Source organism: Homo sapiens, chromosome 13 (assembly GCF_000001405.40).
Source record: "Homo sapiens chromosome 13, GRCh38.p14 Primary Assembly".
Lineage (NCBI taxonomy): Eukaryota > Metazoa > Chordata > Mammalia > Primates > Hominidae > Homo > Homo sapiens.
Genome location: NC_000013.11, coordinates 28,083,534 through 28,111,004, shown reverse-complemented (window position 1 = coordinate 28,111,004; position 27,471 = coordinate 28,083,534). Strand labels below are relative to the sequence as shown.

General features: G+C 42.9%; 1 protein-coding gene and 1 pseudogene across 3 annotated transcripts in view, besides 3 other annotated features; one reads left to right on the top strand and one right to left on the bottom strand.

The window, feature by feature from the left end:
- Nucleotides 1-2,928: 2,928 nt before the first annotated feature.
- CHCHD2P8 (coiled-coil-helix-coiled-coil-helix domain containing 2 pseudogene 8) lies at nt 2,929-3,598 on the bottom strand (annotated as a pseudogene).
- Nucleotides 10,016-10,145: an enhancer, noted in NCBI's record as "active region_7510". NCBI's record gives its function as "activates an Ori minimal core promoter by ATAC-STARR-seq in GM12878 lymphoblastoid cells {active_cell/tissue: GM12878}" and the evidence as "EXISTENCE:reporter gene assay evidence [ECO:0000049][PMID:35858748]".
- Nucleotides 10,256-10,315: a silencer, noted in NCBI's record as "silent region_5207". NCBI's record gives its function as "represses an Ori minimal core promoter by ATAC-STARR-seq in GM12878 lymphoblastoid cells {active_cell/tissue: GM12878}" and the evidence as "EXISTENCE:reporter gene assay evidence [ECO:0000049][PMID:35858748]".
- Nucleotides 10,429-27,471, top strand: part of FLT3 (fms related receptor tyrosine kinase 3) — a 97,303-nt gene continuing 80,260 nt past the window's right edge. For all 3 annotated transcript variants that reach the window (NR_130706.2, XM_017020486.2, NM_004119.3), the window contains exon 1: nt 10,429-10,537. Coding sequence is in view for 2 of the 3 variants with exons in the window: in XM_017020486.2 (XP_016875975.1) it covers nt 10,495-10,537 (43 nt within the window). In the remaining variant the exon portion in view is untranslated. The remainder of the gene's footprint in view (nt 10,538-27,471) is intronic.
- Nucleotides 10,436-10,595: a silencer, noted in NCBI's record as "silent region_5206". NCBI's record gives its function as "represses an Ori minimal core promoter by ATAC-STARR-seq in GM12878 lymphoblastoid cells {active_cell/tissue: GM12878}" and the evidence as "EXISTENCE:reporter gene assay evidence [ECO:0000049][PMID:35858748]".

Genomic DNA, 27,471 nt, shown 5'->3' with positions numbered 1-27,471 from the left:
GGAGGATCGCTTGAGCCCGGGAGTTCAAGGCTGCAGTGAGCTATGATCATACCTCTCCACTTCGGCATGTTGGATAATGCGAGACCCTATCTCAAAAAAACAAAATTTTTTTTTAGAAACTTGTCAATATCCTCTGGTGGAAAAACCAACAACAACAACAAAACAAAAATAAAATAAATAAGATAAAATTAAAAGAAGAAACTCGTCAATAAATTCACCAGTCATGCAATGAATATTCATTGATTTATGAGAGCATGCTGGGTACTAGTCGTTGTGTTAAGGTCTAGGAATGCAAGTGTGAGTAACAGTTGGGGGATGAGGTTCAGGCAACAGTTGGACAAACATAGAGGCTAAGAACTGTAGTACAGTGGGACAGACAGAGGAGAGAAACAAGAGGATGTACCTGAGTCACATGTGGCTGGGGGGATAGCGATAGAGTAGTCAGGAATGAATCTAGAAGGTGAATCAGAGTTGGTCACATAGACTGGAAGGGGCAAGGGAAATAGTGAGAAAGGGGCATGGGTCATTGCAGATACCAACACAGGTATCAAGACATGGAAACAAGAAGAACATAATGAATTTGGAGTTCTGGTTCACTGTGACTCTAACTTGGGTTTATGTGGAGGAGTGGTGGCTATGCAAACAGGGTACAAAGTAAGCTATTGTTACAGACAGCCCCCAAGCACCATGGATTAAATGAGACCGAAGTTTATTTCTCTTAAGCAGCAGTCTAGAGGGATGTAGGTAGTACAGGTTTTGGAGTTGCTCATGCAAATCTAATGCCTTCTATATTGTTGTTCCACCATACCCTAGGCTGTTGTTCATGTACGTATTGTCAAAATGGGATTACTGTGACATCCATGTGCCAGCTCAAGGGAAGAAAAAGCATATTTGGAAAAAGCCTAGTGTGATCAGAGAGTGTAGTACAGTCATGTGCTGCATAACAACATTTTGGTCAAGATGGACAATGATCCAAAAGATTATAGTTCTGGTTTTCTACTGTACTTTTTCTATATTTCAATATGTTCAGATATACAAATACTTACTATTGTGTTACAACTGCCTACAGTATTCAGTATAATACATGCCATATAAGTTTGTAGCCTAGAAGCAACAGGCTATACCACATAGCCTGGGTATGCAGTAGGCTAATATCTAGGTTTGTGTAAGTACACTCTGATGTTTATGCAACAATGAAATTGCCTAGCAATCCATTTCTCAGAACCTGTCCTATTAAGTGACACACAACTATATTTATAAAATGCCATGTAAGTCCAAAAAGAAGATGTTTTGTCTGCTTGTAGGATATAAATTCTACATAAATGTGTTCACTCTTTCCTTGTTAATTACTTTGTTCAAACCCCTTATGTCCTTAGTTATTTTTGACAGTGTAAAATGGGCCAACTCGCCTTACCACAGATACCTCCATCTTTGTAACTTGTCTTCTTTCCATGAACTCCCTCTTTTGGCTTTCTGGATCATCCATCTCTCCTGCTTCAAAGTTTAGGCTGCTATTAGACTTCTTTGGAATGGGAAAAATACCTAACCTATGGGATTGTTATTAGTATTAAGTGAAGCAAAGATTGTAAAGTGATTGGTATAATGTTTGGCACATTTTAGGAACTCAAATGGTGGCAATTATTATTCTAAGCCATAATGGCTGAAAGCAGGGGTTTTGGATATGAGCCAATTTGAATTCTAATCACATTCAGCCTCTTACTGGCTGTGAGACTTTAGGTAGGTCACCTAACAGCTCTGAGCCTTAGATTTCTGATGGAGAAATCAGTTCCATCTCACTAATAAGGCCATGAGTCAGAGATAATCAGTTTGCATTTTAGTGTATTATCTTCTAGTTATTTGAGTAGGCATATACATAATTTCTGAAAATTTAATGACTGTCATGTCATGTAGTTTGTACCCTTTTTTAACCTTAAACTCTTTGAAAGCAAAATTTTCAACAGCTCCCATTTTTGTGTTGACTTCTAAAAGTTACCCATGCTCAATATTTTTTGTAAAAGTAAAATATCAAATTGAAATCTACTTAATATATCAATTAACAAGCAATCTATAGGTGAAGCAAATGAATTAATTTCTATTGATTTTGAAATCTATCCGTTAAGGGCTGAATTGTGTCCCTTAACAGGACACAATTTTTTTGTGGTCCTAAAAAACGTATTTTTGAGGTCCTAACCCCATATTCCTCAGAATGTGACCTTATTTGGAGATAGGCTTTTTACAGAGGTAATCAAGTTACACTGAGGTCATTGGGTGGGTCCTAATCCAATATGACCGGTATCCTTATGAAAAGGGGAAATTCAAATGCAGCGCTAGACAGACACACACACAGGGAGACTGCCACGTGAACATGAAGGCAGAGGTCGGGGTGATGTAGCAGAAGCCAAGGAGCACCAAATATTGCCTGCAAACCACCAGAAGCCAGTACAAGGCTTGGAACAGATTCTCCATGACAGCCCTTAGAACCAACCCTGCCAACACCTTGATCTTGGACTTCTGGCCTCCAGAACTGTGTCTGTGGTACTTTGTTATGGCAGCTCCAGCAAACTAATACATTATCTGTTGCGAATAATTCTAAGGAGATGATTATTTTGAAATCATCTTAGACATAAAGGAAGAACTATCAATTATGAAATTCTGCAGTTGGAATTTTGCAGTTTACCTGTGTGCCACCAATTGCATAATGGAAACAGATTCCAGGGTCCTGTTATTGTTCATCCCATTTAGATGGGTTAATAAAAACACAGTAAAGAGCAGCTCATGAGTTCTAAGCAGGGGTAGTCATCTTCCACACATTCAGGATAAGTTAACTTGTCCAATATTTCAAATCTTTTTTTTTCCCTTGGAAGAAAATGACTTTATTCTAATTAACTCACAAAGAATAAAATCATAACAGCTCTTTTAAGGAGGCCACACAAACATTTGCCCAGCCCCAAATTCTACAGAGTAGGAACACCCCCTTCCATTTCAATTCAGAAGCAAGGAAGCTAGGAATGACACAAGAGGTTTAACTGATGGTTACACTTTATACCTTCACTATCAATTTGATTTTTATACTAAATTAACTTGGTTATAGAGCTGATTTTCCATTTCTCCAGGTTGAACTTCTTGATCAGGCCAATCGTTTTGCCAGTCGGCACTGTTTCAGCACCTCATTGAAACCCTCACAGAGCTTGATGTCACCATGGTTCTGGGCACACTCCAGAAACTGTTCGATCTCATAGAAGCAAGGCTGCTGCTGCTGTGCCAGCTGGGTTCCCTGAGGCTCCTGGTAAGTGATGTCAGGCCTCGCAGGCTCAGCATTACTTCCTCCACTAAACCCCCCAGTAATGGCGTGACCCAGTGTGTGCCCCACGGCAGAGCCCACAGCCGCGCCAGCTGCAGTGGTTGCCATTTGGGCCATCAGACGGGGCACAGCAGCAGGAGAGCCAACTGCAGATGGGGGTGCCGCTGCTGGTGGCTGAGCGGCTAGTGCTGGCCTGGATGCAACTCTCATCTGAGGGGCCCAGCTGGCTAGAGGGGTCACGCGGGAGGTGCAGCTTCAGCTTCCACATGGCATCCTAGGTACGCAACGGCTCGGCCTTTTCTTCAAATCTTTTTTATTCAAAACCTTTTATTATAGAAAATGTCTAATAAAAAGTATAATGAACTTATATGACTGTGGCTGAGGTGCAACTACTGGTGACACATGGTTAATTTTGATTGCTCCACTCAAACCCTCCACATCAGATGATTTTGAAGAAAATCTCTGGCTTTATGTCATTTTTTACAGCTTCACTGAGATCCAATTTACATGTCTATAGTTCACCTATTTAGCCTACAATTCAGTGGTTTTTAGTGTATTTACAGAGTTGAGCAACCATCACCATAATCTAATTTTACAATAGTTTCATCATCCGAAAAAAAGAAACCCTGTTCCCATTAACTGTCACTCCTTATTCCCCCTCAACCTTCCCATTTCATATCATTTTTTCTGTAACTATTTCATGTGTACCTCTGCAAAGATAGGAATGATTTTTAAAATATATAACAATGCTATCATCACACATAATTTTTTTTTTTTTTAATGGAGACAGAGTCTCTCTCTGTCCCCCAGGCTGGAGTGCAGTGGCGCAATCTCGGCTCACTGCAACCTCCGCCTCCTGGGGTTCAAGCAATTCTCCTACCTCAGCCTCCCACACACATATAATTTTTTATAAAATAATATCAAAATTAAAACCAGTGATCACATTTTCCCAATTATTTTATGTATATTTTTCGGGTTACTTGAATCAGCATCCAAATAACATCTTTACATTGCACATTACAATTGCTTGATATTGTAATGTCCTTAATATATCTTAGGTTTCTTTTAATTTATAGGCTCCATCTCTTTTTTTATTTTCTTACAAATTTTCGTTGAAGAAACCAAGATATTTGTTCCATACAGTTTCCTAGGTTCTGGAATTTTATTTTATTTATTATTTATTTATTTATTTATTTATATTTTTTTGAGATGGAGTCTTGCTGTGTCACCCAGGCTGGAGTGCAATGGTACCATCTGGGCTCACTGCAACCTCCACCTTCTGGGTTCAAGCGATCCTCCTGTCTCAGCCTCCTGAGTAGCTGGGATTACAGGCGGCCGCCACCATGCCCAGCTTATTTTTGTATTTTTAGTAGAGACAGGGTTTCACTATGTTGGCCAGGCTGGTCTTGAACTCCTGACCTCAAGTGATCCGCCCCCCTCAGCCTCCCAAAGTGCTGGGATTACAGGTGTGAGCCACTGCACCTGGCCTTTGGAATTTTAAAATTATGTCCCTGTGTTGTCCCATATTCCACTATCCCATGTATTTCCTATAAATTGGTAGTTGGATCTGGGATCTTCAGGTGTGCGCCACCAGGCCCTGGAATCTTAATCAGATTCAAATATCATTTGTTTGTATAAGAATACTTGTAGGTGAAAATGTGTCAAACTTATTTATTTATTTTTAATTATTATTTTTTAGAGACAAGATCTTGCTCTGTTGCTCAAGCTGAAGTGCAGTGACACAATCGCAGCTCACTGCAGCCTCAAGTTTCTGGGTTCAAACAATCCTCCTGACTCAGCCTCCTGAATAGCTGGGACTACAGGTGTGAGCCACATACCCGGCTAATTTTAATTTTTTTTTTCTAGAAGTGGGGTCTCATTTTATTGCCCAGGGTGGTCTGTAACTTCTAGGCTCAGTGATCCTCTTATCTCAGCCTCCCGAAGTGCTGGGATTATAGGTGTGAGCCACTGTGACTGGCCTCAAACTTCTTTAATTTTCCTTTTTTTTTTTGAGTTGGAGTCTTGCTCTGTCGCCCAGGCTAGAGTGCAATGGCACCATCTCGGCTCACTGCAACCTCCGCCTCCTGGGTTCAAGTGATTCTCCTGCCTCAGCCTCCCTCCCAAGTAGCTGGGATTACAGGTGCGTGCCACTGTGCCCGGCTAATTTTTGTACTTTTAGTAGAGACGGGGTTTCACCATGTTGGCCAGGCTGGTCTCAAACTCCTGACCTGTGATCCGCCCGCCTCGGCCTCCCAAAATACTGTGATTACAGGCATGAGCCACCGCACCCGGCCTTTAATTTTCTTTTGTTGTGAAATACATCATATTCACAGCAGTGTGTAAAAATAATTACATAGTTTAAAGAATAACAATAAAATGAACATCCAGCACCCACCACAGAGGTTAAAAAAAAATAGGGTGTGGTTGGACATGGTGGTCCACACCTGTAGTCCCAGCTACCCAGAGGCTTGAGCCCAGGAGTTCAAGGCTGCAGTGAGCTATGGTCGTGCCTGTGAATAGCCATTACACTCCAGCTTGGGCAGTGTAGCAAGACCCTATCGCAAAACAACAATAGGGTATGTTAGCACCTCAGAAATCCCCAGTTTGTCTTCTCTAATTAAACCTCCTCTTCCCACCCCATACCAGACGTAACCACAATCCTGACTTTTGTGGTAATTATTCCTTTACTTTCCTTATACCCCTATGAATGTATTCCTAAGGAGAATATTGTTTGCTTCCGCCTTTATGTCTATTATTCCATGACTTGCTTTTCCCCCTCAACATTATGTTTTTGAGATTCATTCATGGTGTGTCAGGTAACTGTAGCTCATTCATTTACACTGTTATTTAATATATAGGTATTTTATTATGACTGTACTGCAATTTATCCTTTTGTTGGTGGGCATTTAGATTGTTCCCAATTTTTTGATATTATAAACAATAATGCTATGAACATTCTTATACTTGTCTCTTGGCACATATGTGTTTCTTTGAGGTTTATATCTGGGGGTGAAACTGCTGGCTGGAGGATATGTTCAACTTTAGTAAGATATGCCAAATTATTTTTCAAAGTGCTCACACCCATTGGGATGTCCACCAACAGTGTGTGGGTGTTCTCCATTGCTCTGAATTCTTGTCAACACTTTGTATTGTCAGATTTTGCCAATTGGTGAGTTCAAAGCCCCTATTAATAAAAGATGTGTAAAATTATACTATAAAGTTGATATCTCAACTGAACTCACATGAACCCTATTCAAATATTCCTTTTGTTTGTCCCTGATTTTCAGGAAAACATAAGGCTTTGTAAGTTAAAAATGACATGAAAGTATTTCACCTGTGAGCTGCTACGAAACTATGTCACAATTTTTGGAGAGAGAGAGGAAAGGGAGAGGAGATATTTGTGTGACTTAAGGGGTGGAAACATGGTATCAAGATGCTGGTAAGATAGATGACCACTTACTCATGGCTAAGCATCATGGTGCTAAGAATCTAGATAAAATACATCCTTTCGTAGAGTTAGCACTAGACACTCCATTCAACCCAGAAACAAACTTACTCTTCTCTTTTCCGATTTCCCGTTTCAGCTCATTTCTTCTAGTTGCTTTTGACCCTTTAAGAGTTTCTTTATTACAGAATTCCTATCATGAACTCTGACACCAAAATTTCATACTTGGGCATGCATACCTGGGCGTGTAATCCAGGACTCTAGACAATTTCAGGCTACTTTCCTTAAGTGTTGCTGTGAGGAAGAAATTAGTTCTCATATTAGATATGACTCTTGGCACATCACAGAAAAACATGGGCATTACTTCACCTTCTGTTAGCCTATACCTCATACTCCAAAATATTTCAGTCTATAAGATTTGCTCCTTCTAGAATTATTTTTTCCACCAATTTCCACGGAAAATCAAGTGTTCCTAGAAACCATTCCTGGCTGGCCGCGGTGACTCACACCTGTAATCCCAGCACTTTGGGAGTCCAAGGAGGGTGGATCACGAGGTCAGGAGTTTGAGACCAGCCTGGCCAAGATGGTGAAACCCTTCTCTACTAAAAATACAAAATTAGCTGGGCGCAGTGGCGGGTGCCTGTAATCCCAGCTACTCAGGTGGCTGAGGCTGGAGAATCGCTTGAACCCGGGAGGCGGAGGTTGTAGTGAGCCTAGATCGTGCCACTGCACTCTAGCCTGGGCGACAGAGCAAGACTCTGTCTCAAAAAAAGAAACCATTCCTAACTTCTCCTCTCTCACCAACCCCCTTTTTCATGAAGATCTCTGCCTTGTGTCCAAGATTCTTGGACAAAGCAGCAGTATCTTTATGATTTTGTATCCTGAATACTGCTGCACTCAAGCTGATGTTCTGCAAATTTGTAATAATCAGTTTCATTTTTTTTTTAGTTTTTCATTTTATTTATTTATTTTTTTGAGACGGAATCTCCCTCTGTCGCCCAGGCTGGAGTGTAGTGGCGCGATCTTGGCTCACTGCAACCTCCGCTCCCCAAGTTTAAGCAATTCTCTGCCTCAGCCTCCTGAGTAGCTGGGATTACAGGCGTATGCCACCACGCCTGGCTAATTTTTTGTATTTTTAGTAGAGACAGGTTTCACCATCTTTGCCAGGCTGGTCTTGAACTCCTGACCTCGTGATCCACCTGCCTTAGCTTCCCAAAGTGCTGGGATTACAGGCATGAGCCACTACGCCCGGCGAAGACCAAGTCTTGCTCTGTTGCCCAGGCTGGAGTGCAGTGGCATGATCTCAGTTCACTGCAACATCTGCTTCCTGGGTTCAAGCAATTCCCCTGCCTCAGCCTCCCAAGTAGCTACGACTACAGTGCCACCATGCCCAGCTAATTTTTGTATTTTTGTTAGAGATGGGGTTTCACCATGTTGGTCAGGCTGGTCTCCAACTCCTGACCTCAAATGATCCACCCGCTTTGGCCTCCCAAAGCGCTGGGATTGCAGGCATGAGCCACAGCGCCCAGCCAATCAGTTTCCTTTAAGACAGTAATTGAGCTTTAAATAGAAGGTAGTGTGTTAGGTCTTGGCCATTGGAAGCTCGCTTTTCTCCCCATAACCAGCCTGTTTCATTGCTTTATCTCCTCATGTTTCACTTATTTCAGGCCATCTTCCTTCACTTCTGTTTCTGACCTAAGGTAGACACAACACTCTTTAAAAAAATTTTTAAACCCCCAGCAGCTACACAAAAACTTAAAAAATTTAAAATTGAGGTAAAATACACATACATAAAATTTACCATCTTAACTTTTTGTTTTTGTTTTTGTTTTTGAGACAGAGTCTCACTCTGTCACCCAGGCTGGAGTGCAGTGGTGTGATCTCAGCTCACTGCAGCCTCTGCCTCCCGGGTTCCAGTGATTCTCCTGCCTCAACCTCCCAGGTAGCTGGGATTACAGGCATGCGCCACTACGCCTGGCTAATTGTTGCATTTTTGTAGAGATGGGGTTTCACCATGTTGGCTAGGCTGGTCTCGAACTGCTGACCTCAGGTGATCTGCCCACCTCGGCCTCCCAAAGTGCTAGGATTACAGGCATGAGCCACCGCACCCAGCCTTAGCCATTTTTAAGTGTACAGTTTAGTAGCGTTAAGTACATTCACATTGTTGTGCAACCAGTCTCCAGAACTCTGCTCATCTTGCAAAACTGAAACTCTGTATCCATTAAACACTGGCTCCCCATTTCCCCCTGCCCCCAGCCCATGGTAACCACCATTTAACTTTCTGTCTTTATGAATTTGTAATGGGATACAGTATTGTATTTTTTGGGACTAGCTTATTTCACTTAGCATAATGTCAAGATTCATCCATATTTTAGCTGTATCAGAATTTCCCTCCTCTTTAAAGCTGAAAAATACTCAGTCGTATGTATATACTGCATTTTTGTTTATCATTCATCTGTTGTGGACATGGGTTACTTCTGCCTTTTGACTACTGTGAATAATGCTGCTTTCAACACGGGTGTACAGACATCTCTTCAAGACCCTGCTTTCAATTCTTTTGGCTACATGGCCAGAAATGGAATTGTTGGACCGTATTTTTTTTAATTTTTTGAGAAACCTCTATAGTGTTTTCCATAGTGGCTGCACCATGGTAGACACTTCTAAAGTTTCTGCCATACCCTAGGGGAAAGAATTATTGTACTGTAGACAACATCTAAGGAAAAGAACTGTATGGCCAAGAGTAAACAGTCAATTTTCATGCTTTATTAGAAAATAATTAAAATAATTAAGAGCGTGGAATTCCTAGAATTGGGAGAGACATTATGAACCATTTGGTCCATCCCTTTCCTTTACGATGAGTAAACAGAGGTTTGTGGAGGTCAAACGGCTAGTTAAGTAAGGGAAGAACCAGAACTGGCATCCAGAGCTTTCCAATCCTCAACTTATTGCAAAGAAAATAATAATAATTTTCAACTCGAAAAATTATGCGATGAAGAACAAGAACTATTGAGCGGATGATTCGCAACATCCTCTGGGATGTATTTTCTGTGTGTTTTGTTTTGAAGGCTGTTTGTTAACCTCCCTAATTGCCTTGGTTGACATTGAAACCCTGCCTGTTTTTCTTGATCCCGCCGCTGACTGGGTCCTGAGCATCCTAGGAGATGGAGGCAGAGACAAAGGAAATCAGTCCACAATTAAGAATGGAATGGTTCTTAATGGAATGCTCGCCTGTGCGCTGGCGGGAGTTGCCAGCGTGCCGAGCGGATTCAGCGCCTTTCTCAGGGCCTCAAAGATCCCAGCGCACTAGGAGGGTGGTTTGTGGCTCCCTGCAGTCCCCACGCCCCGGATCCAAACGACAGAGTTCGGGGACTCACAGGGGCAGCAAGGCGGCAGAGCCGCGGAGCCAGTGCAACTTCTCCGGCGGGACCGCGCCCAATCTTCCCCGCCGCAGTCGGGGAGCCCCGGGGGCCGCCGAGCACAGGCTGCGGACCGCGGCGGGCACGTGGGCTCGGCTGCAGCGCTGCGCCAGGCACCGGCTGCTCGGCTCTGCCCAACCTCTCCGCTCCCGCCTCGGTCCCTGCCTCTGGGGAGAGGGTTCCTCCCCCCTTCCACTTTGCACCAGTCCGAGGGAATTTGCGGTCGGTGACGCGCATCCTTAAGAGAGCCACCTGCAGCGCGAGGCGCGCCGCTCCAGGCGGCATCGCAGGGCTGGGCCGGCGCGGCCTGGGGACCCCGGGCTCCGGAGGCCATGCCGGCGTTGGCGCGCGACGGCGGCCAGCTGCCGCTGCTCGGTAAGGCCCCGCTCGCTCGCTCGCAGCCCCTCGCGGTCCCTCAGCCCCCACCCCGCAGTGTGGACCCGGGCGCGCGCCTCCTCCGGCCCAGCCGCCTCGCTCCTCCCCGCGCTCGCTCCTTCCATTGCCTCCCGCGCCCCTCCCCTCTTTCGCGCCCTCCGGACTCGCCCACTACTTGCCTGCGGCCCCGGCGTTTCCCACCCCGCGTCCTCTTCCCTCTTCTCCGAAGTCTCTCCTCTGGCTCGGGCCGCGGTCCCGAGTGGCGGCCCGGACTTCGCAGACGGCCTCGCCGAGGCGCTGCGCCGGGTCTGGGGCAGCTCGGCCCGCGCGCTCGGGTGCTGGGCCGTCCGTGGGAGTCTGCGGCCGCGAACTCGGCGCCAGGTGGCCAAGGACCTCTCCTGGCCCGGCCCTTGGATACTGTAGACACCTGGGTGTCGTCTTTAACTCTTCTTTTGAGGTTTTGATTTATGGAGGGAACTCTGATGGGAAAATGCGTCCGCGTTCTCCCCTAGAGCGAGTCATCCTCAATAACGATACCCCCCAGCCCCGCCGAATTTTGGTTGGATCAACGAATAGTTTACCTAGGAAATATTATGCAAACAGATTTACATATTAAAATACTAGCTGTCCCTTTCTTCTAGTCTCTTCTTATCCTGGCATAAACCCCAAAGGGGTTTTCAAGGACTCCGAGGACTGTCCCCAAAGAATCTGCTGGGTAGCATAGTTGTTATTGAAAAAAAAAATCTTCCCATCGGTTCGCGTCAGCTTTCTATTTGGAAAGATGAGAGGACTGAATCGAATTTGGGTTGAAGGCGACAGAGTTCTGGGTGCCCGGCAGCTCCGGTCCCTGTCCTAGGTCTGCAACCTTGGGACTGACACTCACCTCCCCCGGCCTCCGCGTCCTCATCTGTGCAGTGAGGGAGTCCGTCCGAGTCCCCTTCAGCTCTGAAATGCTAGGACTTGAAGTCTCTGTGGTAAATAGAGAAAATGCTTGCAATATAGAAGTGCAGGAATTATATCCAATAGCTTTTGTTACAAATAATTCTGAAATATAAAAAGTAAAAAATGGAAATCGGGGGAAAAGAGTTGAAAAACAAAGACATTTTAGTTCTTAAATAGTTATCTTTACTAGTTAGTAAATCTGTAATTTCAAATGTGTAGTACAATATGTTTTCCAGATTCCGTTAATACAAAATGTTAGCTTTCTATTATGTATGATATTAAGTAGTAAGTGCATTTTTCAGAAGCATAATGGGCTTTCTAAAGGTATAAGCATCAATACTTGCAACGATATTTAAGCTGCATGGAATTCTTTTCTATTTAGGAAAGAATTCAGAAATTTCTATGTCTCTCTCTCCAGATATTTCTAAATGAAGTATAATTGGCACACAGTAAATATGCACACATCTTAAGAGTACAATTTCATTAGTTTTCACATATGTACGTGCCCAAATAACCACGATCAGACTGAGATATAGAGCAATTCTAGCTCCACCCTCTCTGTCAGTACCCCCTCCCCAGGTAGCCACTATTCTGACTTCTGATGCCATGGATTGCTTTTGCCTATGTTTGAACTTCATGTAAACCAAACCATCATCGTGTGCTCTTTTATGTCCACCTTCTTTTACTCAACATTATAATAATAAGATTCAACCTTGTTCTCTGTAGCAGTGTTTTTTTTTTTAATTGCTGGTACCATTCCGTGGTATGAATAGATCTTATAATTTATTTTATCCATTATGTTCACGAAGCACATGGAAGTTGTTCCAATTTTGTGTAATTATGCATAGCACTGCTGTGAACATTGTTTTATATATGGTGGACATAAACACCAGTATAAAGGATTATGCCCACAAGTAGAATTCCTGGATCATAGGGAAGGGATATGTTCAGGTTTGGTAGATACCGTCAAACGGTTTTCCACAGTGGTTACACCAATTTCCACTCCCACTAGCAGTGTATGGCAGTTCCAGTTCCTCACATCTTTGCCAATACTTTGTATTATGGATTTTCTTGAATAAAGAAGGATAAAGTGAGAAGCTTAAACATGAGAACTTTAAAATGGTTAATAGCCTTAAATTCTTTGAATTAGAACATGGGATCCCAATTTCCCTTATATTGTAAACACTACTTTTTTTTTTTTTTTTTTTTTTGAGACGGAGTCTTGCTCTGTCACCCAGGCTGGAGTGTAGTGGCGCGATCTCAGCTCACTGCAACCTCCGCCTCCCAGGTTCAAGCGATTCTCCTGCCTCAGCCTCCTGAGTAGCTGGGATTACAGGTGCGTGCCACCGCACCCAGCTAATTTTTGTATTTTTAGTAGAGACGAGGTTTCACCATGTTGGCCAGGCTGGTCTCGAACTCCTGACCTTAGGCGATCCACCCACCTCAGCCTCCCAAAGCGCTGGGATTACAGGTATGAGCCACCACACCCGGCCATGCCCAGACTTCTATTCATCATTTATGAATAATGATGAAGCTTTCTAAGTGGCATTTGAAGGAGAGGAACATGTTCCCAATGGGCTTTTCTGCATTATCTGCTGATACTGGACAGAGAGAAGTATTTCAATATTTTAAGAGCTATGATACTACCTTTTTCATTAGTGTTAAAAAAAATTCGTATTCAAAGCCTTGAACTGCACATTTGAGTTGCCATTCTTTGCTCTTGTTGCTTATCTTAGTTTATTTGCCTTCTTGGAAACTCCTAGCCCAAGGGGGAATGATTCAGGAGAAAGTGGAGGGAAGGGACACTCAGCAAAGCTTGGTTTGGATTGGATGTGAGCCCAGACCTGCCGACCTGACATTAATGTCCCCTCTGACTCTGAAACTCTAGTTCTAATTTTTGCCATTATATAGGTGTAGATTGGATATTCATTTCTTTTTAGGTACTTCACGTCTATCTATAGTAAATTATCCTCTTAGGTTTAATTGTGAACTTCTTGCCTTACATTAAAAATGGATTAACTTTTTATAACTAAGAAGGCACTTTCAGTAACTCTTAGCTATTGGTAAATATTTGTTATTGGATTCTCCTGTTGTTTAAACTGAAAAACAATCAGGCAATGAGATATTAAATGGGAAGGAGGAAGACTTACTTATATTCCAAGGGAAGACTTCAGATAAGAAAAATGAAGAGAAAACATGCATTAGGAAGAAAAAATCTGTTTTTATTTAACAAACTTTAATTGAATACCCATTTTTTTCCTTCCTTCCTTCTTTCCTTCCTTCCTTTCTTTCTTTCTTTTTCTTTCTTTCTTTCGACAGTCTCCCTTTGTCATTGAGGCTGGAGTGCAGTGGTGTGATCACAGCTCACTGCAGCTTCAACCTCCTGGGCTCAAGCAAGCCTCCTACCTCAGCCTCCTGAGTACCTGGGACCACAGGCACGTGCCACCACACCTCATTAATTTTTTGAAAAATTTTTTGGTAGAGATGAGATCTCACTGTATTGCTCAGGCTAATCTTGAACTCCTGGGCTCAAGTGATCCTCCCAAAGTGCTAGGATTACAGGTGTGAGCTACCGTGCCTGACAGAATACCTATTTCTTGCTAGGCACAAGCAGTACAAAGATTAAAGAGATGGAGGTAGGGGAACTTGTGTATAAATAACCAATTTTATTTTTTTAAGAAATGTGTGGTCATTGCCTTTCCCCAGGAAAAGTATTTCAGTATGCTTTCTTTTATTAAACCTTCCAACACAGTTATTATGATTACTAAATATACATTAAAAATTGCATGAGTCTGGCTGGGTGCGATGGCTCATGCCTGTAATCCCAGCACTTTGGGAGGCTGAGGCAGGCAGATCACTTGAGGAGTTTGAGACCAGCCTGGCCAACATGGTGAAACCCTGTTTCTACTAAAAATACAAAAGTTAGCCAGGCGTGGTGGCAGACGCTTGTAATCCCAGCTACTTGGGAGGCTGAAGCAGGAGAATCACTTGAGCCTGGGAGGCAGAGGTTGCAGTGAGCCAAGATTGCGCCATTGCACTATACCCTTGGTGACAGAGTGCGACTCCATCTCAAAAAAAAAAAAATTGCATGCGTCAATGAAGGAAGCTTTAGCCTGGTCAGAAAAGGGATCCCAGTTTTTTGCCCCCTAAAACTACTTTTTAAATTTTTTTTGAGACAAGACCTGGCCCTATCACCCAGGCTGGAGTGCAGTGGTACAGTCTCGGCTCACTGCAACCTCTGCCTTACGGACTCAAGCAAGCCTCCTACCTCAACCTCCTGAGTTGTGGGACTACAGGCATGCACCATGACACCCGACTAATTTTTGTATTTTTTGTAGAGATGGGGTTTCACTGTATTGTCTAGGCTGGTCTTGAACTCCTGAGCTCAAGCAATCCTCCTGCCTCAGCCTCCCAAAGTGCTGGGATTACACATGTGAGCCAGTGCGCCCAGCCTAAAACTACTTAAAAATGGAGATATAGTACTGTATTTAATGCTTATGGGAAAGAAAATGCTCTTCCATTTAAAGTAAAAGGAACAAACTGTTCCAAAGCTAAATATGGTCATCTTTTAGGTCTTGGGAAGAAGCACTTTTCCAAATCATTCTTTAAGCAAAGGTATTGACCACATTTTACTCTGGGAGGGTATTCCTGCTCATTTGAGAAGCCCACAAAATGCCTCGGCTTCAACAACATATCCACGGTTCTTTGTGTTCCTCTCATCTCATCCTTGCATGACACTCGGCAAGCAGGGTGACAGTAACTAACCCCTATCATTCAAGTTCAAGATTACAGTCTTGCTGCCTCCCCACATACCTACCAGACATTGCCTTAATCTTTGGGCAAAGATTTTGATTTGACAAAAAGCAAATAATCTCAAGAGTATTGTATTTTATCATTTTTCTTAACTTTGAAAGGGATCTTGTAGATAACAGGAGTAAGAATTTGGAGAGGGGGCCGGGCAAGGTGGCTCATGCCTGTAATCCCAGCACTTTGGGAGGCCAAGGTGGGCAGATCACGAGGTCAAGAGATCAAGACCATCCTGGCCAACGTGATAAAACCCTGTCTCTACTAAAAATACAAAAATTAGCTGGGTGTGGTGGCGCACGCCTGTAGTTCCAGCTACTCAGGAGGCTGAGGCAGGAGAATCACTTGAACCTGGGAGGTGGAGGTTGCAGTGAGCCGAGATCATGCCACTGCATTCCAGCCTGGAGACAGAGCGAGACTCCTTCTCAAAAAAAAAAGAGAGGGGAAACTGAAGGGCTGGAAATTGGCTTAGCTTGGTCTTGACACTGTGCTGTATCCTTTATTCCCTCTGAAATAGCAAATTCTTGTGAACTTCACAGTAGGTGGTTTGTCTGAGTAGAGCTTTTTGGTTTTTTGTTTTTTCTTATATACCCAGACTGCTCACCTGCAAGCTTTTTGGTTTTTATCAGGAGACTTTGTGATCTTAAGATGTTTTTCTATGACTTCCAGAAAAGCTGTATCCACTTCTCAGGTAGTCACAGTTATAGGGTCGAAGATTTTTCTGTCTTTGGGGAATCTGCGAGTTTTATACCTAAGTGATTTAGTTATTCTTGGTTGATACTTTCTATGGCTGCATTATCAGTGGTTTTGAAGTAATGAAAGCTTTTGTAGAAGTCACTACTGGTCACTAATTTGACTCACGCAATTCTGTTCTATGAGTACCAACACATGTGAAGGAAATTTTAAAATAATATAAAAGTAGGCAGAGTGCAGTGGTTCACACCTGTATCCCCAGCACTTTGGGAGGCCTAGGTGGGAGGATCACTGGAGCCCAGGAGTTCAAGACCAGCCTGGGCAATACAGCGAGACCCAGTCTCTACAAAAAAATTTAAAAATTAACTGAGCGTAGAGGCACATGCCTGTAGCCTCAGCTACTCAGGAGGCTGAGATAAGAGGATAGCTTGAGCCCAGGAATTTGAGGCTGCAGTGAGCTACGACCATGCCACTGTACTCTAACGTGGGTGACAGAGCAAGATGCTATCTCTAAAAAAAGAAAAAAGAAAGGAAAAAAATATATAAAGTGCACACAGTGTTCTTTTGTGGCCACAGAAATTGCATAAGATCCTAAAAGAGGAACCATTTTTTTTTAGGTTAAACAGTAAAAAAATATACATTTTTTTACTGCTGTCATTATAAGGTCAATTGGTAGCCAAGAATCTTCCATACAATTATTTACAGTCTATGCTAAAGCAGGCTTTAGTGTATAAGACAGTGTATAAGATAGTCACTGAATTCGGTCTTGGAATATTTTGTTATTTGAGTTATGCTTTTCCTAATGTTTGATATTATGTTCTTGGAGGTAATGCCCATAGATATATTAGGACTAAAAACACATTTAAGAAACGTGCTGTTTTCTGTGGCAGAGAATGTCTCTGCACTTAAGTTCCTCATTTGTAAAAAGGAGATAAGCAGTATCTTACTCCTTCATCAGATAATACTTGTAAAGCACAGCTGCACTCCTTGTTAGGCACGTGTTTTGCAGAAAGAAAAATATATGAAGTCTGAAGACATTAGGATTTGGAGTCACAAGATTTGCCTGCCTCTCTCCTTCCCTCCCTTCTTTTTTAATTCCCTCCCTCCTTCCCACCCTTCCTCCTTCCACAGATGTTTTTGAGCGCCGTCTATGTCTAGGACCTGTGTTAAATGCTACACAGTACTGTTTCCTGCCCTCAAAGTATAATGTTAGGGGTGTTGGTGGGAGAAGGTCAGACATATAGAAAGAAAATTGCAGTGGAGTTTTAGAAATATGCACAGTGGCTGAACCTCTAACCCAGACTGAGAAGGTAAAGCAAAGCTTCCAAGAGAAGGTGATGCCAGAGTCATACTGGAAGAGAAGTAAGACTTGTCAGAGAAAGAAGAGGGTGAGGATGTTCCAGGTAAATAGGACAGCAAATGGAGTTTTCCACAGATGGAAAACTATGATTTCATTCCGAGTTGTTGTGACACAATGTATAAGGTCGCCAGGATTAGAGTAACTATCATTTATAAAGTTGTAATTCAGCAAATTATTTGAAGATTTCTAATGAATAGGTTTTAAAAAAAGAAAATTCAGGGTTGCCTGAGCATAACATGTAATGTGTAAGGGATACTTTGGTGATGTGTTATGTTAAGTGGTTGGACTTTATCATGTAGACCAAGAGTCTCTGGATGGTTGGTCTGACGTGGGGATCCATGCCTGTAGTCCCAGCTACATGGGAGGCTCGCTTGAGCCCAAGAGTTCAAGTCCAGCCTGGCCAACATAGCAAGATCCCATCTCTAATTAAAAAAAAAAAAAGAGGCCAGGTGTGGTGGCTAACACCTGTAATCCCAGCAGTTTGGGAGGCCAAGGTGAGTGGATCACTTGAGCCCAGGAGTTTGAGGCCAGCCTGGGCAACATGGCAAAACCCCATTTCTATAAAAAAATACAAAAAAAGTTAGCCAGATGTGCTGGCACATGTCTGTAGTCCCAGCTACTAGGGAGGCTGAGGCAAGAGAATTGCTTGAGTCTGGGATGTGGAGGTTGCAGCGAGCCGAGATCACACCACTGTACTCCAGCCTGGGTGACAGAGCGAGACCCTGTCTCAAAAAAAAAAAAAAAAAAAAAAAAGTAGTCTCTGGATGGATTTCAGGGGGGTTGTTATATCTTCCCTCTGTGTGTGTATGTGTGTGTGAGCATGCTTTTTTTTTTTTTGGAAAGTGAGTTAATTGCGACCTTCAGATTTTCAAAGGGATTTGTGACTCAAGAAAGGGTAATCATTGCTGTTGGTTCTGGAGGGCTTTAAGCAGAGGTGTGACATGCTCTGATTTGTATTTTAGAAAGACACTTCTGGTGTCTGTGTAGAGGATGAATATGGGGCCAACAGAACTATGGCAGGGAAGTTGTTGGCAGTAGTCCAGGCCAGAGATGATAACGAGGGCTTGAATTAGGGTAATGGTGATAGAGATGTGGAGCTGAGAATTGCTTTGAGAATTATCAAGTAGTCAAAATGTTAGCTGAGCATGGTGGTGTGCACCTGTAAGCCCAGCCACTCTGGAGGCTGAGGCAGGAGGATCACTTGAGCCCAGGAGATTGAGGCTGCAGTGAGCTATGATCCTGCCACTGCACTCCAGCCTGGGTGGTAGAGCGAGACCCTATCTAAAAAAAACAGTCAAAATATAAGGGTTGGCAATTGCCTGGGTAATGGGAAATGAGGGAGAGGGAGGAGTCAAAAATGGCTTCTGGGTTTCTGGATCCTGTGACACTGGAGGTTTGCCACTGAGGAGGATTTGGGGAGAGGGAGGAGAGAGGGAGATAGGAAGAGGTGGGGCTTAGGGAGGAGAAAGGTGAGTTAAATTTCCATTTGAGTTTAAGGTTCCTGGCGGGGGTTACCCAGATATATAGTTAAAGACACAGAAGGTATGAATTAGGAACTTGTGAGCAGATATATTCTTTTTTATTTTATTTTTATTTTTTGAGACGGAGTCTCGCTCCATCACCCAGGCTGGAGTGCAATGGCGCGATCTTGGCTCACTGCAACCTCTGCCTCCTGGGTTCAAGTGATTCTCCTGCCTCAGCCTCCCGAGTAGCTGGGACTGCAGGTGCTGTCCACCACGCCTGGCTAATTTTTGTATTTTTAGTAAAGACGGGGTTTCACCATGTTGGCCAGGCTGGTTTCGAACTCCTGACGTCAAGCGATCCACCTGCCTTGGCCTCCCAAAGTGCTGGGATTACAGGCGTAATCCTGGCCACGCCTGGCCTATTTTTTATTTTTATAGAGATGAGGTCTTGCTGTGTTACCCAGGCTGGTCTTGAATGCCTGAGTTCAAGCGACCCTCCCACCTTGGCTTCCCAGAGTGCTGAGATTACAGGCGTGAGCCACTGCACCCAGCCTCACCAGCAGATAGACAGTAGTTAAAATTATGAGAATTTATAGAGAAAGAACATTGAATGAATGAGTTCAGAGAATGAAACCTTGGAGTTACCCAGTCTACTGCCCTCATTTACCACAGGAAGAAAATGGGGGGCCGGGCGCGGTGGCTCACGCCTGTAATCCCAGCACTTTGGGAGGCCGAGGCGGGCGGATCACGAGGTCAGGAGATCGAGACCATCCTGGCTAACACGGTGAAACCCCGTCTCTACTAAAAATACAAAAAATTAGCCGGGCGTGGTGGCGGGCGCCTGTAGTCCCAGCTACTCGGGAGGCTGAGGCAGGAGAATGGCGTGAACCCGGGAGGCGGAGCTTGCAGTGAGCCGAGATCGCGCCACTGCACTCCAGCCTGGGCGACAGAGCGAGACTCCGTCTCAAAAAAAAAAAAAAAAAAAAAAAAAAAAAAAAGAAAATGGGGCCCAAAGAGGATAAATGAGTTGCTCAAATTCAGTTTTCAAAGCTGATAACTTTCAGAAGAGGGACTTGGAACTCTGGTCTCCAACTCTTTGCCTCACAGAAGAGAGCTTGAAAATGAAGTGTCTTGACATCCTCTGGTTTGTTTCATGATGTGTAAAATAAAGCCACAACTCTTTAAAGTTTTAGATTAATGTCAACTTTTGTTTTACTTACCCCCACCCCCATCCCAGTACTGTCCCTTCAAAGTGTACCACTTTGAGAGCTCTTTTTCAATTCCAAAGTTGTCCTCACCGCTCAGAATGTGTTTGGAACTGGATTCTGGGAATTTCCATTAAGGTTTTAGAATGAATTTTTGGAAAGAACCTTAATATTGATGGTGGCAAATTTCCTTTGGCTTTGTTCTTTTGTTGAGGGGGCAGGGGCGGACAGGTCTCACTCTGTCACCCAGGCTGGAGTGCAGTGGCATGATCTTGGCTCACTGCAGGCTTCACTTTGCGGGCTTCAGTGATCCTCCCACCTCAGCCTCCTGAGTAGTTGAGACCACAGGTGTGCACCACCACACTAGGGTAGTTTTTGTATTTTTGGTAGAGATGGGGCTTTGCCATGTTGGCCAGGCTGGTCTCGAACTCCTGAGCTCAAGTGATCCTCCTGCCTCGGCCTCCCAAAGTACTGGGATTATAAGTGTGAGCCACCGCATCTGGCCAGCTTTTTAAAAAGTCAGGTTTATTGAGGTACAATTTTCATACAGTAAATTTCATCCTCTTTAGTATGCAGTTCTATGAGTTTAAGAAACAAATACAGTCATGGAACTGCCACCACTACCAAGATATAGACATTTCCATTCCCCTTAAAAGTTCCCTCATGGTGGTGCACAGTGGCTCGAACCTGTAATCCCAGCACTTTGGGAGGCTGAGGCAGGCGGATCAAGAGGTCAGGAGTTCAAGACCAGCTTGGCCATCATGGTGAAACCCTGTCTCTACTAAAAATACAAAAAATTGGGCATGGTGATGCACGCCTGTAATCCCAGCTACTCGGGAGGCTGAGGCAGGATAATCATTTGAACCTGGGAGGCGGAGGTTGCAGTGAGCTGAGATTGTGCCGCCACACTTCACCCTGGGTGACAGAGACAGACTCCATCTAAAAAAAAAGTTCCCTCACGGCGGGGCGCAGTAGCTCACGTCTGTAATCTCAGCATTTGGGGAGGCCGAGGCGGGCGGATCATTTGAAGTCAGGAGTTTGAGACCAGCCTGGCCAACATGGTGAAACCTTATCTCTACTAAAAAAATATATATAAAACTTAGCCGGGCATGGTGGCAGGCGCCTTTAATCCTAGTTACTCGGGAGGCTGAGGCAGGAGAATTGCTTGAACCCAGGAGGTGGAGGTTGCAGTGAGCCAAGATCACTCCACTGCACTCCAGCCTGGGCAACACAGCAAGACTCCATCTCAAAAAAAAAAAAAAGTTCCCTCATGCCCTTCTGTAGTCAACCCTGATCCCTACCCCAAGCCCCTCACAACCAGTACTCTCTTTCCTGTTTTCATTCCCTTTATAGAATGTCATGTAAGTGGAATCTTATGATACGTAGCCTTTGAGTGTGTTTATTTCACATAGCAGAATTATCAGATTTATCTGATCAGGTGATTGTTACGTATATCAGTAATTTTTTCTTTCTGGTGCTGAGTAGTATCCTATTGTATGGATAGGCCTCAGTTTGTTTATCCATTAACCAGCGACTGGTCATTTGTTTGCTTCCAGTTTTTGGCAATGATGAATAAAACAGCTATAAATATTTGAATACAGGTTTTTGTGTAAGCATAGGTTTTCATTTCTTTTGGGTAAATACCTCAGAGTGGTATTGTATTGCTGCACTGGATGCTAAGTGAATGTTTAACCTCATGAGAAACTGCCAAACTGTTTTTCAAAGTGATTGTACCATTTGTCATTTTCCCCAACAATGTGTGAGAATTGCATTTGCTCAAGGTCATCGTCAGCATGTGGTATTGTCAGTTTTTTGGTTTGGGTTTTTAACCATTCTAATAGCAGTGTAGCAATGTGTACTGTGGCTTAAATTTGCATTTCCCTAATGACTAATGATGTTAAGCATCTTTTCATGTGTTTAATTGTCATCCTATATTTTGTTTGGTGAAGTGTCTCCCAAAATCTTTTGCCCATTTTTAAAACTGGAGTGTTTGTTTTATTATTATTGGGTTTTAAGGGTTCTTTGCATATTATGGATACAAGTCCTTTTTCACATGTATATCATCAAACTATTTTCTCCAGTCTGTGGCTTGTCTTCATTTTTTAAGAATGTTTTCTGGGCTGGGTGGGCAGCTCACGCTTGTAATCCCAGCACTTTGGGAGGCCGAGGCAGGCGGATCACCAGGTCAGGAGTTCAAGACCAGCCTGGCCAACATAGTGAAACCCCGTCTCTACGAAAAAACAAAAAAATTAGCTGGGCGTGGTGGTGGGCGCCTGTAATCCCAGCTACTCGGGAGGCTGAGGCAGGAGAATCGCTTGAACCCGGGGGTGGAGGTTGCAGTGAGCCAAGATCGCACCATTGCACTCCAGCCCAGGTGACAGTGTGAGACTCTGTCTCAAAAAAAAAAAAAAAAAAAGGTTTTGGATGGCTCACACCTGTAATCCCAGCACTTTGGGAGGCCAAGGCAGGTGGATCACCTGAGGTCAGCAGTTCAAGACCAGCCTGGCCAACATGGCAAAACCCTGTCTCTAGTAAAAATACAAAAATTAGCCAGGCATGGTGGTGTGCACCTGTAATTCCAGCTACTTGGGAGGCTGAGGTGTGAGAATCACCTGAACCTGGGAGGTGGAGGTTGCAGTGAGCTGAGATTGTGCCACTGCACTCCAGCCTGGGCAACAGAGTGAGACTCCGTCTTAAAAAAAAAAAAAGAATGTTTTCTGAGGAGCAAAAGTTTTTCATTTTGGTGAAGTCCACTAGTAAAAGAAAATTAACTCTAAACTGAACACTGCTTTGATCCCACCTAACCCAGCTTAAATGCAAGACATGAAAGAACAAAGTGCTCACCATAAATTTAATTGCATCCCAGAAAAAAGTTCAAGAATATTTAACAGAAGACAAAAACATCCAGCACCAGGTAAAATTCACAATGTCTGACACCCAGTTATAAATTTACTAGACAAACAAGGAACAAGAAATATTTAACTTAAGGAGAAAAATCAGTCACCCAAAAGGGACCCAGAAATGACATCAAATGTGGAATTAGTGGGCAAGAAAATTAAAACGGTTATTATAACAATATTCCAAATCTTTCTGAATGAGGAAAGATTGTACATGTTAAGAAGAGACATAGCAAATATAACAAATTACTCAAATTGAACTACTAAGGATGAAAACTCAATTACACTGGAGAGAATTAGTACCAGATTAAACATTGTAGGAGAAAAGATTAGTGGACTTGGCGGCATAGCAACAGAAACTATCCAAAATGAACAGAGCAAAAAAGACCAAATAACGTAAACAGAGAATTAGGGAGGTACAGAACTTCAGGTCGTCAGATATACATGTAATTAGAGTCCCTAAAGGAGAGAATGGAGGAAAGGAAGATGACAGTAAAGATATGTCAAAAATAAGGGAGGAAAATTGTCAAAATCGGATAAAAATGATAAACCTATGGGTTCAAGAAGCCCAGTGAAACTCAAACACATGACTTATGACAACTACAAAAGGCTAATTATCATCAAATTGGTTAAAGCCAGAGACTAAGAGAAAATCTTAAAAGCATCCAGAGAAAAAAAGATACATTCATTTGGCAGACTTCTTGTCATGAACTATGTAAGTCAAAAGACAGTGAAGAAACATTGCAACATCTTTAAAGAACTGAAGGACGCTTTGGGAGGCTGAGGCAGGAGGATTGCTTGAAGCAAGGAGTTCAAGACCAGCCTGGGCAACATAGCAATCCACTGTCTCTACGAAAAATAAAAGAATTGGCCAGGCATGATGGTGTGTCCTTGTAGTCAAAGCTACTTCAGAGGCTGAGGTAGGAGGATTGCTAGAGCCCAGGAGTTCAAGGCTGTAGTGAGCTATGATCATGCCACTGTACTTCATCCTGGACAACAGAGCAAAACTAATAATATAAATGTGTAGTTCTATATCCAAAAATAAAACACTTTCAAAAATGAAGAGAAACAAATAGTTTTTCAGATGTACAAAAACTGAAAGAAACAATCACTACCAGACTGGCACAATAGGAACTGTTAAAGAAAGTTCTTCAGACAGGTGGGCATGGTGGTTCATGCCTGCAATCCTAGCACTTTGGGAGGCCAAGGTGGGCAGATCCCTTGAGGTCAGGAGTTCAAGACCAGCCTGGCCAGCATGGTGGAACCCCATCTGTACTAAAAATACAAAAATTAGCTGGGTTTGATTGTGCAAGTTTGTAATTCCAGCTACTCGGGAGGCTGAGGCAGAAGTATTGCTTGAACCTGGGAGGCGGAGGTTGAAGTGAGCAGAGATTTCACCACTGCACTCCAGTGTGAGTGACAGAGCAAACTCCATCTCAAACACACACACACACACACACACACACACACACACACACACACACGAGTTCTTCAGACAGAAGGAAAAATAATACAAAATGAAAATCTGGATTTACACAAAGGAATACAAAATAGTGGGAATGGAAACTATTTGAGTAAGTATAGCCTTTTTTTCTTATTGTTTAAATCTCTTTAAAAGACAATTCACTGTTTAAAGCAATAATAATAATAATGTCTTGTGGGGTTTATAGCTTACGTAGAAGTACAGTGTATGTCAGCAATACCACAAAGCCTGAAAGAAATGAAACGGAAATATGCCAGTGTAAGGTCCTAGTATTAGATACGAAGTAATGTAACATCACCTAAAGGTAGACTGTGTTATGGTAAACATGTAATACTATGAACCTTAAATCGACTACTAAAACAAAACAAAGCATTATAGCTAATAATCCACAAAAGGAAATAAAGTGGAATCATTTTTTTAAAAGCTCAGTTATTCCCAAAGGAGGCAGAAAAAAGAGAAGAAAGAATAAAAAACAGAAGGGACAAATGGAAAACAAAGAACAATATAGTAGATTTAAATCTGATCATGTCAATACTTTCTGTAAGTTAAAATGATCTAAATATCATAATTAAAAAGCAGAAGTTTCAGATTTGGCTAAAGAAAAGTAAGACCCAACTATATGCATCATAAATGAAACCAGTCCTGGATATTTTTTTAATGTAATTTTTTATTTAAAGAAGGGGTCTTGTCATGTTACCCAGACTGGTCTCAAACTCCTGGGCTCAAATGATCTGCCCACATTGGCCTCCCGAGGTGCTGGGATTGCAGGTGTGAGCCACCATGCCCAGCCCTAGTCCTGCATATGAAGACACAAATAGGTTAAAAGTAAATGGATGGGGAAAAAAATCCCATTCTAACACTAATCAAAAGAGAGCCAGAGGTAATGATGTTAGACAAAGTACATTTCAGAGAAAAGAATATTGCTAGAAACAAAGAGAGCCATTTCATAATGTTATAAGGCTTGATTCATCAAAAGGACATAACAATCCTAAACGTATGCACCTAATAACAGAACTTGAAAATACATGGGGCAAAATCTGACTGAACTGCAAGGAGAAATAAACAAATACACAATTATATTCAAAGTGTATGACACTCCTTCTCCTTCAATAATTGATAGAACAAGGACAAATAAATAAGTAGGATATAGAAGACTTGAACAGCATTGTCAAGCAACTTGACCACATCACATTTATGGAACATTCCACCTAACAATAGTCACAGTAGTCAAATGCACCTCTTTTTTCTTTTCTTTTTTTTTTTTTTTTTTTTTTTTTGAGATGGAGTCTGGCTCTGTTGCCCAGGCTGGAGTGCAGTGGCACAATCTTGGCTCACTACAACCTCTGCCTCCCCGGCTCAAGTAGTTCTCCTGCCTCAGCCTCCCGAGTAGCTGGAACTATAGGCGTGCGCCACCAGGCCCAGCTAATTTTTTGTATTTTTAGTAGAAACAGGGTTTCACCACGTTGGCCAGGCTGGTCTTGAACTCCTTTCTCAGGTGATCCGCTCGTGTCGGCCTCCCAAAGTGAGGTGTCACAGGCGTGAGCCACCGCCCCGGCTTGCACATCTTTTCAGGTGCACACTTACCAAGGTAAAGCATATTCTGAACCATAAAACAAGTGTCAGTGAATTTTTTTTTTTTTTTTTTTTAGAGGAAGGCTCGCTCTGTCGCCCAGGCTGGAGTGCAGTGGTGCGATCTCGGCTCACTGCAAGCTCCGCCTCCCGGGTTCACGCCATTCTCCTGCCTCAGCCTCCCGAGTAGCTGGGACTACAGGCGCCCGCCACCACGCCCGGCTAATTTTTTGTATTTTTAGTATAGACGGGGTTTCACCGTGTTAGCCAGGATGGTCTCAATCTCCTGACCTCGTGATCCGCCCTCCTCGGCCTCCCAAAGTGCTGGGATTACAGGCATGAGCCACTGCGCCCGGCTGTAAATTTTAAAAGATTCAATACATACAAAGTATATCTTCTGACTACAATAGCATTAAATTAAAATTTCAGCCTGGGCAAGATGGCAAAACCCCATCTCTACAAAAATTAGAAAAAAATAATTAGCCAGGTTGGTGGCAAATCCCCATCTCTACAAAAATTAGAAAAAAATAATTAGCCAGGTTGGTGGCATTTGCCTGTACTCCCAGCTACACAGGAGGCTGAGGTGGGAGAATCACCTGAGCCCAGGGAAGTTAAGGCTGCAGTACACCGTGATCACACCACTGCAGTCCACCCTGGGTGACGAGTGAGACTCAAAACAAAAAACAAACAAAATTAATAACTGCAGGACATTTTTGTAAAAAAATAAAAAATTAATTAATTAAAATTAATAACAGAAAGAGGCCAGTACAGTAGCTTGCGCATGTAATCCCAGCATTTTTGGAGGCTGAGGTGGCAAGATCACTTGAGGCCAGGAGTTCAAGACCAGCCTGGGTAACATAGCAAGACCTCGTCTCCCAAAAAATAAAAAAAAATTAGGGAGACGTGGTGGCCTATGTCTGTAGTCCTCACTAGTTGGGAGGCTGATGTGGGATGATCATTTGAGCCTAAGAGTTCAAGTCCAGCCAAGGCAACACAGCAAAACACCATTTCTTTTAAAAAAAAGAAAAAAAGTAAGCAAAAGAAAGGAAACACAGTAATAATCATCAGGGTGAAAAATCAAAGAAAAAGAAAACAAAAAAATTAGAAATTAAAACAATAAAACTAAGAACAGTAAAAGATCAATAAAATCAGTAAACCTCTAGCCAAACTGATTAGAAAAAAAGAGTGAAGACGTGAATTGCCAATATCAGGAATGAGAGAAGTAGTATCACTACATAATCTACAGATATTAAACGGTTAATATGGAAATATTACTAACAACTTTATACCTATACTTTGACAACTTTGATTAACAGAAAAAAAATAAAAGACACATACTATCAATGCTTGTTCAAGAAAAATTGATAAGCTAAATAATGCTCTACTAAAGCAATTTAATCTGTAGTTAAAAATATTCCCACAAGGAAAATTATTAGAGCAGATGGCTCTCACTGGGAAATCCACCAAACATTTAAAGAGGAAATAAAACCAATTCTATACAGACTCCTCCAGAAAACT